At 45.1% G+C, this 13,899-nt stretch overlaps 1 protein-coding gene across 12 annotated transcripts in view; it reads right to left on the bottom strand.

The window, feature by feature from the left end:
- The window catches only part of DHX8 (DEAH-box helicase 8), a 60,825-nt gene that overhangs the window by 38,325 nt on the left and 8,601 nt on the right, over positions 1-13,899 (bottom strand). For 9 of the 12 annotated variants that reach the window (NR_136228.3, NR_136227.2, NR_136226.2 and 6 more), the window contains 7 exons: positions 13,435-13,794; positions 12,886-13,030; positions 12,589-12,792; positions 10,207-10,294; positions 7,516-7,613; positions 6,372-6,519; positions 1,650-1,831 (listed from right to left, as the gene is read on the bottom strand). Coding sequence is in view for 8 of the 12 variants with exons in the window: in NM_001322219.2 (NP_001309148.1) it covers positions 1,650-1,831; positions 6,372-6,519; positions 7,516-7,613; positions 10,207-10,294; positions 12,589-12,792; positions 12,886-13,030; positions 13,435-13,794 (1,225 nt within the window). In the remaining 4 variants the exon portion in view is untranslated. Of the gene's footprint in view, positions 1-1,649; positions 1,832-6,371; positions 6,520-7,515; positions 7,614-10,206; positions 10,295-12,588; positions 12,793-12,885; positions 13,031-13,434; positions 13,814-13,899 lie in introns of all 12 variants that reach the window. The other 3 variants (NM_001322218.3, NM_001322221.2, NR_136225.2) reach the window with 2 other exon arrangements.

The raw sequence follows: 13,899 nt of genomic DNA, 5'->3' as shown, positions 1-13,899 counted from the left end.
GCTAATTTTTGTACTTTTAGTAGAGACAGGGTTTCACCATGTTGGCCAGGCTGGTCTCGAACTCCTGACCTCAGGTGATCCGCCCGCCTTGGCCTCCCAAAGTATTGGGATTACAGGTGTGAGCCACTGTGCCTGGCCTGGCAATTTTTTTTGTTTGTTTGTTTAAGAAGGCCAGGCACAGTGGCTCATGCCTGTAATCCTAGCACTTTGGGAGGCCAAGGAGGGAGGATTGCTTGAGTCCAGGAGTTCAAGACCAGCCTGGACAATATAGTGAGACCGCATCTCTACAAAAAATACAAAAAACTAGCTGAGCATGATGGTGTATGCCTTGTAGTCCCATCTACTTGGGAGTCTGAGGTGGGAAGATCACTTGAGCCCAGGAGGTAGAGGTTGCAGTGAGCTGAGATCAAGCCACTGTACTCCAGCCTGCACAAAGCGAGACTCTGTCACACACACATACACACACACACACACAAATCTCTGAGATATATCATTAAGTGGAAAAAGATGTAGAACAGTGTATATAATATCACTGCCACCTGTAAACACACACAGTACTCATATAAAATGTGTGTGCGTGTGTGTGCATATATTTGTACTTGCTTGTATACATATAAGATATTGTTGAAAGGATTCACTAGAAACTAGTAAACCTGATTACCTCAAGGAAGACTCGGTGGTCTTAAAATCAGAACTCCAGAATATAGAGTACCGAAGCACTCTATGAGTTGCCCATATGAGTTTATTGACTGAGTATCCTCATTTTTAATTACTGAACAGAGCTGTTGGTCCATGCAACACAATACTCTGCCCACTTGGAAACTGTTCTAGGGGCCCCAGGAAAAAGAAGATATACAGACACATACATAAGTATGTGTGTCTGTACACGCACACACAAACATTTGTGATATGGGGTCTCACTTGGTCGCCCAGGCTGGAGTGCAGTGGTGTGATTGCAGTTCACTGTAGCCGCGACCTCTCAGGCTCAAGCAATCCTCTTATCTCAGCCTCCCGAGTAGCTGGGATTACAGGCATGGACCACCACACCCAGGTAATTTTTTTTTTTTTAGACAGAGTCTCTCTCTGTAGCCAGGCTGGAGTGCAGCGGCGTGATCTTGACTCACTGCAACCTCCGACTCCCTGATTCAAGCGATTCTCCTGCCTCAGACTCCAGAGTAGCTGGGATTATAGGCATGCGCCACCACGCCCAGCTAATTTTTTGTATTTTTAGTAGAGACAAGGTTTCACCGTGTTGGCCAGGATGGTCTCGAACTCCTGAACTTGTGATCCGCCCACCTTTGCCTCCCAAAGTGCCGGATTACAGGTGTGGGCCACCACGCCCCACCAAATTTTTTATTTTTTGTAGAGACAAGATTCCCTATGTTGCCTCAGGCTGGTTTCAAACTCCTAGGCTCAAGTGATCCTCCTGCCTTGGCCTCTGATGTGCTGGGATTATAGGCATCCACTACCGCGCCCAGCCCCATTTAAAAAAAAAGTATTTAGAAAGTTTTATCCTTCTTTCTTAACTCTTTTGGATGAGCCACTTCAAGTAGGCACATACTTGTCCCGTTAGTTTCAGTTTAAAAATATCACCCCTCTTTTAGACAATAACCCTACTCCCCACCAATACATCATAAAAGTCTTCTCACCTGGACCAATTGCTCCTTCAGTTTGTAGATGGGCAGGCTCTCCCTCTGCTCAAGGATTGACATCTGGGTCTTTTTTCCGTAAGAGGCTTTGTTGCCCCCAAAGGCATGCTTCTTCCACTCAGGAATATCATTGGGCATCATCCCAATACCCCTCATGTTGGCAGCAATCTGTCTGCCTTCCGCTGGAAAGGAAAACAGGCAACTTAGTATTGTCCTCAAGCTACCTCAAGATGTACCAGGAAAAAAATAAAATGGCATGCGGGCACTGCACATGCAGCATCTCAATTCAGCGACCCGTGATCAAAAGTACTCAAAGAAACAAATTAATGTGAAGAAAAGAATATAGAAGGGGCAGCAGGGAATGGGAAAGAGACTGTAACAAGTGGTGCTACACACCTGTGATGTCAGAAAAAAGGTTAGTTGAGAGAAGTGAAGACCTGACTGCTTGACACTGGAATTATTTTTTTTTAGGTAGGGTCTTGCTCTGTCATCCAAGTGGGAGTGCAGTGGTGCAATCCTGACTCACTGCAGCCCCGACCTTCTGGGCTCAAGCGAGAAGAGGTCACTCTATGTTGCCAGGCTGGTCTCGAACTCCTGGGCTAAAGCAATCCACCCATCTCACCCTCCCAAAGTAATGGAATTACAGGTATGGCCACCATGCGCAGCACTCTCCCCTTTTTAAATAACTGCTATATCGAGATGTAATTCACAAACCATGTTACACTTTTTTTATTTTATTTTATTTTTTTGAGACAGGGTCTTGCTCTGTTTCCCAGGCTGGAGTGCAGTGACGCAATCACGGCTCACTGCAGCCTCAAATTCCTGGGTTCAAGGAATCCTCTCTCCTTGGCCTCCCAAAGTGCTGGGATTACAGGTATGAGCCACCAAGCCAGGTCTCCGTGTTACTCTTTTTAAGTGTTTAACTCAGTGTTTTACTGTATATTCATTAAGTTGTGCAACTATCCCCACTATTTAGAGTATTTTCATCATATCAGAAAGAAACCCTGTACCCATTAGCAGTTACTCCCCATTCCTCCCTTTTCCTTTCCCTTGGCAACCATTAGTCTACTTTCTATGTCTACGGGTTCTATTCTGGATACTTCATACAATATGTGGTCTGTTGTGCCTGGTTTCTCTCAGATTAATTTTTTTCTTTTTCTGAGACAGGGTCTGGCTCAGACGCCCAGCAGGCTGGAGTGCAGTGGCGAGATCTCAGCTCAGCAACCTCCACCTCCTGGGCTCAAGCAATCCTCCCACGTTAGCCTCCTGAGTAGCTGGGAATACAGGTGCACGTGATTACACACGGCTAAACTTTTTTTTTTTTTTTTTAGATGGAGTTTCGCAATTGTTGTCCAGGCTGGAGTGCAATGGCGTGATCTCGGCTCACTGCAACCTCCGCCTCCCAGGTTCAAGTGATTCTCTTGCCTCAGCCTCCCTAGCAGCTGGGATTACAGGTGCGTGCCACCACATCTGTTAATTTTTCTGTTTTTAGCACAGATGGGGTTTCACTATGTTGGCTAGGCTGGTCTCAAACTCCTGACCTCAGGTGATCCACCCGCCTCAGCCTCCCAAACTGCTGGGATTACAGGCATGAGCCACCATGCCTGGACTAATTTTTGTATTTTTTTAGAGACAGGGTTTCACCACATTGCCCAGCTTGGTTTCAAATTCCCCAACTCAAGTGATCTGTCTGCCTCAGCCTCCCAAAGTGCTGGGATTACAGGTGTGAGCCACCTTGCCCAGACCTAGCTTATATTTTCAAGATTCACCTTGGAATTGTGGCTTGAGGAGCAAAAAAAAATGAGCAGAATTTTAGTGGCTCTCTAGCATATGCAAACATTTTACAAATTTGATGCCAAAAGCTGGCTACGAAAAAATACTTATGCCTACTAACCAAATAAGTGAGCTTAGGCAGAGGCCAAAGGAGGGTCATGGAGAACATTTCACTAAAGGGTAAAAGGGAATGAATGGGTTTATTCTGAGGAAATGGAAGATGATATTGTTAAACAATGAACGAATATGTCCAACCTTCTACTGTAAATCTAATATTTTGGTTTTTATTTTTGTCGTTTTTAAAAATTTAATTTTAAAATAGAGACAAGGGCTAGGCACGGTGGCTCACCAGTAATCCCAGCACTTTGGGAGGCCAAGGTGGGCAAGATCATTTGAGGTCAGAAGTTCGAGACCAGCCTGACCAACATGGTGAAACGCTGTCTCTACCAAAAATGCAAAATAATTACTCGTGCGTGGTGGCGGTCACCTGTAGTCCCAGCTACTTGAGGCTGAGGCAGGAGAATCGCTTGAACCCAGGAGGCAGAGGTTGCAGTGAGCCAAGACTGCACCACTGCACTCCAGCTGGGGCAACATAGTGAGACTCCATCTCAAAAACTAAACTAAACTAAACTAAAATAACAAAACAAAACAAAATAAAATAAAATACAGATAAGGTCTTACTATGTTGCCCAGACTGGTCTTGAACTCCTGGCCTCAAGCAATTCTCCTGCCTCGGCCTCCCAAAGTGTTGGGATTACAGGCGTGAGCCATCATGCCGAACCTAATCTAATATTTGAATCTCTATTACATGCAGCCAAACTGATATCTAAATTAACACAATTCCCAAACTTCTGTCTCCAGCCCAGACCTCTCTTCTGAGCTCTTATACTCAATTCTACACTGGATACCTCAACCTAAGATGTCCTCTAGTTGCCTCGGACACAAGTCCAAAACGGAATTTGACCATCTTTCCCCACAAACCCATTTCTCCTCCAGTGTTCCCATCATTCATCCTAGTGCTCATACCAGAAACCTGGAAGTCATCTTTGACCATTCCTGTTGCCCCACATTCAACAAATTACTTTTCTCAAGTACATCCCTCCTCTTTGCTACCTCCATGTTCAAGCCACCATTCTCTCTCTTCATAAAAGCTTTCTAAATCATCACATGTGCCCCATCCAACTCATTCTGCAGGGCACCCTCAATCATCCTTTGGAAATGCAACTCTGGTCATGCCATGTGCCAGCTGCAAACTTTCAACATCTGGCTGGGCACGGTGGCTCACACTTGTAATCCCGGCACTTTGGGAGGCTGAGATGGGGGGGGGATCACCTGAGGTCGCGAGTTCGAGACCAGCCTGACCAACATGGAGGAACCTCGTCTCTACTAAAAATACAAAAAATTAGCTAGGCGTGGTGGTGCATGCCTGTAATCCCAGCTACCTGGGAGTCTGAGGCAGGAGAATCACTTGAACCAGGGAGGTGGAGGTTGCAGTGAGTCAAGATCATGGTGTTGCACTCCAGCCTAGGCAACAAGAGCAAAACTCTGTCTCAGAAACAAAAACAACAACAACAAAAGAACTTTTCAACATCTCCCAGTGCTATTAGAATTGAGCCCAGCTTCCTAATGCCACCTACAAAGCCCTGGCCTGATGTTCTTATCTCATCCCCTACCACTGCCCACTGCTCTCTCTATTCCATCCACACAAGCCTTCTTTCAGTTCCTTCTTTCCCACCCCACAAACCCAACACGGGCTACTCCTCAGGCTGGAACATACTCCCCAACCTCCATCCCATCTCCACTTGACAGACTGAGTCCAATTTATCCTTTGGGTCTCGATTTCCCCAGGGAAGTGACCCACCACAGTCAATTACACTGCCTGTACTTCTTCACATGGCACTGATCATAATTTAATTATTTGGTGATTATTTAATTAATATCCATATCCCCGACTAAGTTGTAGCGCATAAAAGCAGGGATCATATCTGTTTAATTCAAATCGTATCCCCAGTTGCCAAACACAAATTAAATTAATAAGTATTTGTTATGACTATATCTAGTAGCTAATATTTACTGCACAAAGAATTATATGAAAAAGGAAGCTTCAAAGCTGTATTACCTTTAGAATAAAAATTTTTTTTTTGAGACGGAGTCTCACTCTGTAGCCAGGCTGGAGTGCAGTGGCGCGATCTTGGCTCACTGCAACCTCCGCCTCCAGGGTTCAAGCGATTCCCCTGCCTCAGTCTCTCGAGTAGCTGGGACTACAGGCGCGCACCACCACACCTGGCTATTTTTTGTATTTTTAGTAAAGACGGGGTTTCACCATGTTGGCCAGGATGGTCTCGATCTCCTGACCTTGTGATCCGCCCGCCTCAGCCTCCCAAAGTGCTGGGATTACAGCATGAGACACCGCGCTAGAATAACATTTTTAAAGTGATTCAGAAGAAAAACTCAGTCTAATGATTTGACCATGGCTATTAAAACATTTTTGGTTTTAAACATGTGTTTAAGAAAAAACCAAACATGCTCTAACTGAAGTGAAAAACCAAGGGTAAATTTTTTTTTCGAGATGGAGTGTCATTCTATCACCCAGGCTGGAGTACACTTGCCTGATCTCAGCTCACTGCAACTTCCACCTCCTGGGTTTAAGCGATTCTCCTGCCTCAGCCTCCCGAGTAGCTGGGATTACAGGTGTGTGCCACCATGCCTGGCTAACTTTTGTATTTTTTTAGTAGAGACTTGGTTTCACCATGTTGGCCAGGTCGGTCTCGAACTCCTGACCTCAGGTGATCCACCTGCCTTGGCCTCCCAAAGTGCTGGGATTACAGGCATGAGCCACCGCCCCGGCCCAAGGGTAAATTTTTAGTGTGTGCCGGGAGTGACCCCTCCCTGTGTTCTGAAAGGCTCAGATTTTTAAACAAGGTCCATACACCCCTCCAAGGGTCCTACCATCAGGCAGAGGGTCAACCCAGTGTTTGTTGAGTCCCATGGGAATAGAATCCATCTCAGCTTCCCGCTGGGCCTGTTTGAGTTCCCGCCTTTCTTTGGCCAAGGCACTCTGCATCATTGCTGCTTGGGAGAGGGAGCCGTCTGGGTTCTGGTGCAACAGAAGAAAAAACAACATGGATTAAATGTCCGGGAAATAATATGTAGAAGTTAAGCTCCTGTAATCTAAAACATGAGACTACATCTGGAATAAAGTTCTTATCAATGTAACAGACTATATGAAAGAAATGGATAAACCGTAGCATATTCAGATAAAATGAACAAGGACAATGTTACATCATTGAAGGAACTGGATGTTTAGTTTGAATATGAGAACCCCAAAAGAGATAGGAATGATGTGCTACCTTTAAACGTATGAAGGACATAAGAAAGGTATAAGAATTTTTCTGTATGACCCTGGGAACCAAAATCAAGACCAATGTGGACACTTCAGTGAGCGAGGTTTCAGGTATGCCTAAAGAAGAACTAGCGATCAGATCCATCTCATGATGAAATGTACCTCCTTAAGGGCTGGTGAATTCCCTGTCACTAACAATGTCATGCAGCTATGAGATGACCATATGAGAAGAACACCGCAGAAGAATGATATGCGTGGATTATAAGCATTTCATATGTGCTGGGCTGGGAGACCTTTAAATATACCCTTTTCCATACCTAAAATGTTTATTGTTCTATGAATTCTGGTTTGGATTCCCCTTACAGCTCTGCCCTCTCCAGCACCCAGTGCTACAGCTTTCTATGGTGGCCAGCCCCAAGTGCTCAAGTAAATCCTTCAAAATTGCCTTTGAATCTGCAAGATTCAAGCCCTAAGGAATCCAGGCAAAGGCAATGATGGCAGATTAAGCATTCCTATCTATCTCTGCTTCCACCCAAAATACACAAAAGGAGCACAAAAGAATTCAACAGGCAAAAGCAATAAAGCCAACCCAACCTCCATTTAAAATAAAACTATTATAGACCCTGGCTAACAGCCAGTAATACTTTCTGTGGCCCAAGTTCTACTTACGCAGATCTAATAACCTGACCCATTACTTTAGAAAAAGAAGTCCACTTGACATTTCCAGGTTAAAGGTCCAGTAATTCTCACCTTGACAATTTTAATGGGGCTCATGTCCATGCTTTGCTTAGTGTGCCCTCTCAGGAATGGAGGCTCTTCCTCAACCAATTCAATCTCAAGGTCCTCATCTAAAAGTCCCCCCAAAAGAAGAATTAGCCATAAACAAGAAAAAATAACAATTTTCACCAAGACAATTAATTTCCATAGGTACCAACAATCTTTATCAAAAACAGCTTCCCCTGGTGGGGCATGGTGGCTCACGCCTGTAATCTCAGCACTTTGGCAGGCTGAGGCAGGAGGATCACTTGAGGTCAAGAGTTTGAGATCAGACTGGTCAACACAGTGAAACCCCATCTCATTAAAAATCCAAAAATTATCCAGGCTTGGTGGTGGGCACCTGTAGTCCCAGCTACTCAAGAGGCTGAGACAGGAGAATAGCTTGCACCCAGGAGGCAGAGGTTGCAGTGAGCTGAGATCAAGCCATTGCACTCCAGCCTGGGTGACAGAGTGAGACTCTGTCTTAAAAAAAAAAAAGAAAAAAAAGGCCGGGTGCAGTGGCTCTTACCTGTAATCCCAGCACTTTGGGAGGCTAAGGCGGGCTGATCACCTGAGGTCAAGAGTTCCAGACCAGCCTGGTCAACATGGTGAAACCCCATCTTTACTAAAAATACAAAAAAATTAGCTGGGCTTGGTGGTACAGACCTGTAATCCCAGCTACTTGGGAGGCTGAGGCAGGAGGATCGCTTGAACCCGGGAGGCAGAGGTTTCAGTGAGCCAAGACCGTGCCACTGCACTCCAGCCTGGGCAACAAGAACGAAACCCCGTCTCAAATTAAAAAAAAAAAAAAAACACCTTCCCAGGTCAAAGGACAGCAATGCAAGTAAAACTCTAACCCAGGTGACTATTCCCCCATCACCAGCCATTTCTAGAGCATTTGTGCTCCAGCCCAAGAACTGATCAGACCTACTTTGAAAAGAAGTTAAGCCTGTGAGAAAATGCTCTCCTGACATTCTAAATGGTACTAGGGCATTTGCCATCCAACTTCATTGTGGAATAATTCTTAACCCAAAATAAATTTGTAAAAAATTAGTTCGACAATTGAACAACACCAAGCGGAACTTGCTTACACTTATGGCAGAAGTATAAACGGTACAGAAACCAACAGAAAACAATTTGGAACTGCCCAGCAAAGTCAAACACACACATTTCTTACTACCCAGTAATTTTTTTTTTTTAAGACAGGGTGTTGCTCTGTTGCCCAGGCTACAGCACAGTGGCATGACCATGGCTCACTGCACCCTCGACCTCCCAGGCTCAAGCAATTCTCCCACTTCAGCCTCCCCAGTGGCTGGGAGTACAGGCACACATCACTACACCTGGCTAATTTTTTTTCTTTTGTAAAGACAGGGCCTAGCTATGTTGCCAGGGCTGGTCTCAAACTCCTAGGCTCATGCAATCCTACCATCTCAGCCAGCCTCCCAAAGTGCTGGGATTACAGGGCTGAGCCATGACACTTGGCCTACCCAGTAATTCTATGCATTTAGGGAAAAAAGAACATTTTGCACATAAGCACTAAGAGACAATATAGCAATTTCAAAATACTATTATTCACAAAGATTAACCAAAAACCAAGAAACAACTCATATGTCCATCAAAAGTAAAATGGATAAATTATAGACAATTTATATATAAACACTCTATAGCAATAAAAGTGAGTGAAATACCAATATAAATATCAACATAAATATCAAAAATATGTAAGTCAAAAAAAAAGAAAAATGAGTTAAGTTCAAAAATAGACAACACAATATAATGTTTAGGGATAGATACGTAGATGGTAAAACTAAAGAAAAGCCAGGGAGTAATTAACACAAATGTGGGACGGTGGTTACTCCTAGAAGGAAGAAAGAAGATCTAAGCAGAGGGGAGCATGTAGGGGCTTCAGAGGTGCTTGTAAAATTCTACTTCTTAAGCTGGGTGGTGAGTACGTAGGTGCTCACTTACTACTACAATATAAGTTAGAGAATTCTATCATAAGATTTCATAATTTCAAAAAAGTCATTATGGGCTGAGTTAAAAGTTGTTTCCAGGGCAACTCAGAGGTAATCTAGGTGGATCCAGGGTTTTCAGAATAATTACTAAGAATATGAGATCAAATTTACTCCCAAAAATACAATTATAACTTTTTATATCCTGAAAGCTTTTTTTTTTTGATAGAGTCTCACTCTGTCACTCAGGCTGGAGTACAGTGGCGCGATCTCGGCTCACGGCAACCTCCGTCTCCTGGGTTCAAGCAATTCTCCTGCCTCAGACTCCCGAGTAGCTGGGACGATAGGCATGCGCCACCACACCCAGCTAATCTTTGTATTTTTTTAGTAGAGACACGGTTTCACCATGTTGGCCAGGCTGGTTTCAAACTCCTAACCTCAGGTGATCTGCTGGCCTCGGCCTCCCAAAGTGCTGGGATTACAGGCGTGAGCCACCATGCCTGGCCCTGAGAGCTTATTATAAGCAACAGGTATAATAATAATAATACATAAGCACTTGTCAGAAAAATGAACTTCTTGCTTCCATCATGGTGAGATCCTTTTTTTTTTGAGAGATGAGTAGTGAGATCCAAAGAACAAATGATTAATAGCCACTGGGTTAAACTACAGGCAAATCACCCAATTCAATGGCTCAACTTGCCAATTACCCTTCTCGATCCAACTGACTAGTTACCTTCTTCATCATCCACCTTAGGGAGAATGCCAGTCTCTTCATCAAAGTCTGGAAATTCTTCTTTGGAAAGGACATTGGCAGCAATCATCTAGCCAAAGAAGAGAAGGCAGCATTTGTAACCTGCTAAGATCAAAACTTTTTTTTTGTTTTTTGGTTTTGTTTTGTTTTTTTGAGACAGGATCTTGCTCTGTCACCCAGGCTGAAGTGCAGTGACCTGATCAAAGCTCACTGCAACCTCAAACTCCTGGGCTCAACCAATCCTCCTACCTCAGCCTCCTGAATAGCTGACACTAGTGGCGCACACCATAATACCTGGCTAATTTTTAAATTTTTTCTAGAAACAGGGTCTCACTACTTGTCCAGGCTGGTCTCAAACTCCTGGCCTCAAGCAATCCTCCTGCCTTGGCCTCCCAAAGTGCTGAGATTACATGTGTCAGCGACATGCCCAGCCAAAACTCTTCTTTTCTAGGAGAGTTAATTACAGAGGTTTCATGTAGGAAACCCAGTTTTTTTCTCCTCTGACCCACGATATCGGGAGCTCAAATGTCATATATCCCATTCCAGGGTTGCAGAGGTGGTTCTCCAACATGGTGCTGTAAAGTATAAGCTCAAAAGTATTATCCCCAGGAAAAGTTATCTGCTCTTTCCCTTGTTTCCACAGCACTCTGGTACATTTATTATATAATACGTAGGCCAGACACGGCAGCTCATGCCTGTAATCTCAACACTTTGGGAGGCTGAGACAAGAGAATCACTTGGAGCCCAGGAGTTTGAGATGAGCACTGGTAACACGGCAAGACTGTCTCTACAAAAAATTAAAAAATTAGCCAGGCATGGTGGCATGTGCCTGAGGTCACAGCTAATTGGGAAGCTGAGATGAGAGGATGGCTTGAGCCTGAAAGGTTGAGGCTGCAGTGAGCCATGGTCATGCCACTGCACTCTTGCCTGGGCAATAGTGCAAGTAAGAACTTGCCTCAAAAATAAAGGAAAAAATATGTAACCCCTCACAATTATTTGTTTAGATCTGTCTCCTCTGCTGGACTTTGAGTTCCTTAAGCATAGCAACCATGATATATTCGCGTTTATAGCCCTAGCCCTGCATGGTGCTTGACACACCACGGTTATGTTATTTAGTGAAGAAGGATGAAAACAATAGGCTGGGCACAGTGGCTCACGCCTGTAATCCCAGCACTTTGGGAGGCCGAGGTGGGAGAATCACCTGAGGCCAGGAGTTCAAGACTAGCCTGGCCAACATGGTGAAACCCCGTCTCTACTAAAAATTCAAAAAAATTAGCCGGGCGTGGTGGTGGGCGCCTGTAATCCCAGCTACTCGGGAGGCTGAGGCACGACAATCGCTTGAACCCGGGAGGCAGAGGTTGCAGTGAGCTGAGATCGCACCACTGTACTCCAGCCTGGGTGACAGAGCGAGACTCCGTCTCAATTAAAAAAAAAAAAAAAAGGAAAGAAAACAAAAGAATGAAGACTTACATAGCAATTACCATATGCTAAACACTAACCTAAGAGTTTCACTTTTTTTTTTTTTTTTTTGAGACAGAGTCTTGTTCTGTTGCCCAGGCTGGAGTGCAGTGGCATGATCTCAGCTCACTGTAACCTCCGCCTCCCGGGTTCAAGCGATTCTCCTGCCTCAGCGTCGTGAGTAGCTGGGATTATAGGCGCGCACCATGACGCCCGGCTAATTTTTTGTATTTTTAGTGGAGATGGGGTTTCACCATACCGGTCAGGCTGGTCTCGAACTCCTGAGCTCGTGACCCGCCCGCCTCAGCTTCCCAAAGTGCTGGGATTACACGTGTGAGCCATCACGCCCAACGACTTTCACCTTTAATTAATCCTCACACCACCAACACTGGTCCTGTTTTATAGAAAAGGGTACTGAGGCATGAGGTAGAGTAGCTTAGCTAAGGATTACACGGCTAATAAGTGGCTGATATGGTTTGGCTGTGTCCCCACCCAAATCTCATCTTGAATTTCCACGTGTGTGGGAGGGACCCAGTGGACGGTAACTGAATCATGGAGGCAGCTCTTTCCCACGCTGTTGTCACGATAGTGAGTAAGTCTCATGAGATCTGATGGTTTTAAAAAGGGCATTTCCCTGCACAAGCTCTCTTGTCTACTGCCATGTGAGATATGCCTTTCACCTTCCTCCATAATTGTGAGGCCTCCCCAACCAAGTGGAATTCTAAGTCCAATAAACCTCTTTCTTTAGTAAATTGCCCAGTCTCAGGTACGTCTTTATCAGGAGTGTGAAAACAGACTAATACAGTGGCCAAAAGTTATCCCAGGCCATCGTGCTCCAGGGCACACCCCTAAGCACCATGCTACATGCTGAATGACTATCTGGTCATGAAAACTAAAGGCCCCAACCTGTTTGATCTCCCACTTCTCTGGGTCAGAGATTCGGGTGAGGCGCTTGCGTTCCAGTGAGTCGTCCTCTACTTCAGGAGCACTGACAAGGGACAAGTGAGTGGGTCTATCAGGATTCCGCATTGAGGTCTCCTCATTGGTCTCCCCGACAAGATTTCGCCGTCTATTTGGGTTTAGATCTTCTCCAGTCTCTTGATCCACATCCTAAGGCACAAAAACAAGGGAGCTGTCTCACTTGCTGTCCTCTTCCATTCCCTTGGCCATCACATGTAAGAACAGGCTGACCATCTCACCTACCTTCATGCTCAGGCTGGTCTTGGTCCCAGTGAAGGACAGCACTTTGACTTTGACCCTCTGGCCTTTGCTCACGACATCAGCTACATTGGCCACACGACCCTCCCGCCGGAGCTCAGAGATGTGCACCAGGCCTTCCCACCGCTTCCTGAGGGAGAGCCAGACACATCTGGAACATGCCAAAAAATATTTTTCCCCCAACCAATTTCTACCCTTACTGGAACTAACAAAAGAAAATGGTCTTAAACTCAAGAGAAAAGTACCATGAAGGTGGTCAAACAATAAAATAGTATTAACACTCTCCTCATGGGGAGACATGGGGTGGGGAAGCAAATTCTATCTGTCCCAACAAGCAAAGGACAGATCTCCTGAAGACAGAGAAAGGAATAAATGGCTCTGTAACATTTCAAAAGAGTCAATTTCTAAGAACCATGTATGGCTGATTTGACTAAAGTGTCATTAATCAAAGTAACTTTTTAGAATGTGAACATCCTCAGTGATAAAAGAAATTCTGCCCATCACTGGTGTGAACAAAAGAGCACCAGTCATTACCTTAGTCCTTCCAGCTGCACAAAGCAACCAAACTGCATGATGCTGGTAACTTTGCCATTATAAATGTCACCAATGGTGGGCTCTTCTGGAGGAGGGCGGTCCACATGCTTATCCCGCCATCTATCCAGATTCCGCTCTCCATATTTGTCCCGGTCCTTCCGGTCTTTGGGGGGACTCTGACTCCTGCTCCTGGACCGATATCTAGACTTCACTTTATTCCTCTCCCGGGTCCTGGAACGTGATCGAGAGCGGGATCGGTGTCTCCGCTTGTGGTCTCTATCTCGGTTTCGTTCCCTATCTCTGTCTCGATCTCGGTTTCGATCTCGGCTTCGACTCCGCTTCTTCTTCTTTGTCCTGTCCCTAACAAATCAATAAGCACCTGTTTAAAAAAGAAACCAATCCGATTTCATCTTCGCATCCCCAAGCACCCAGTACAGTGCCATGCACATGGTAGGTACCCACTAG

This window comes from Homo sapiens, chromosome 17 (genome assembly GCF_000001405.40).
Source record: "Homo sapiens chromosome 17, GRCh38.p14 Primary Assembly".
In the NCBI taxonomy this organism is placed as follows: domain Eukaryota; kingdom Metazoa; phylum Chordata; class Mammalia; order Primates; family Hominidae; genus Homo; species Homo sapiens.
This window is presented reverse-complemented; position numbering and strand designations above follow the sequence as displayed.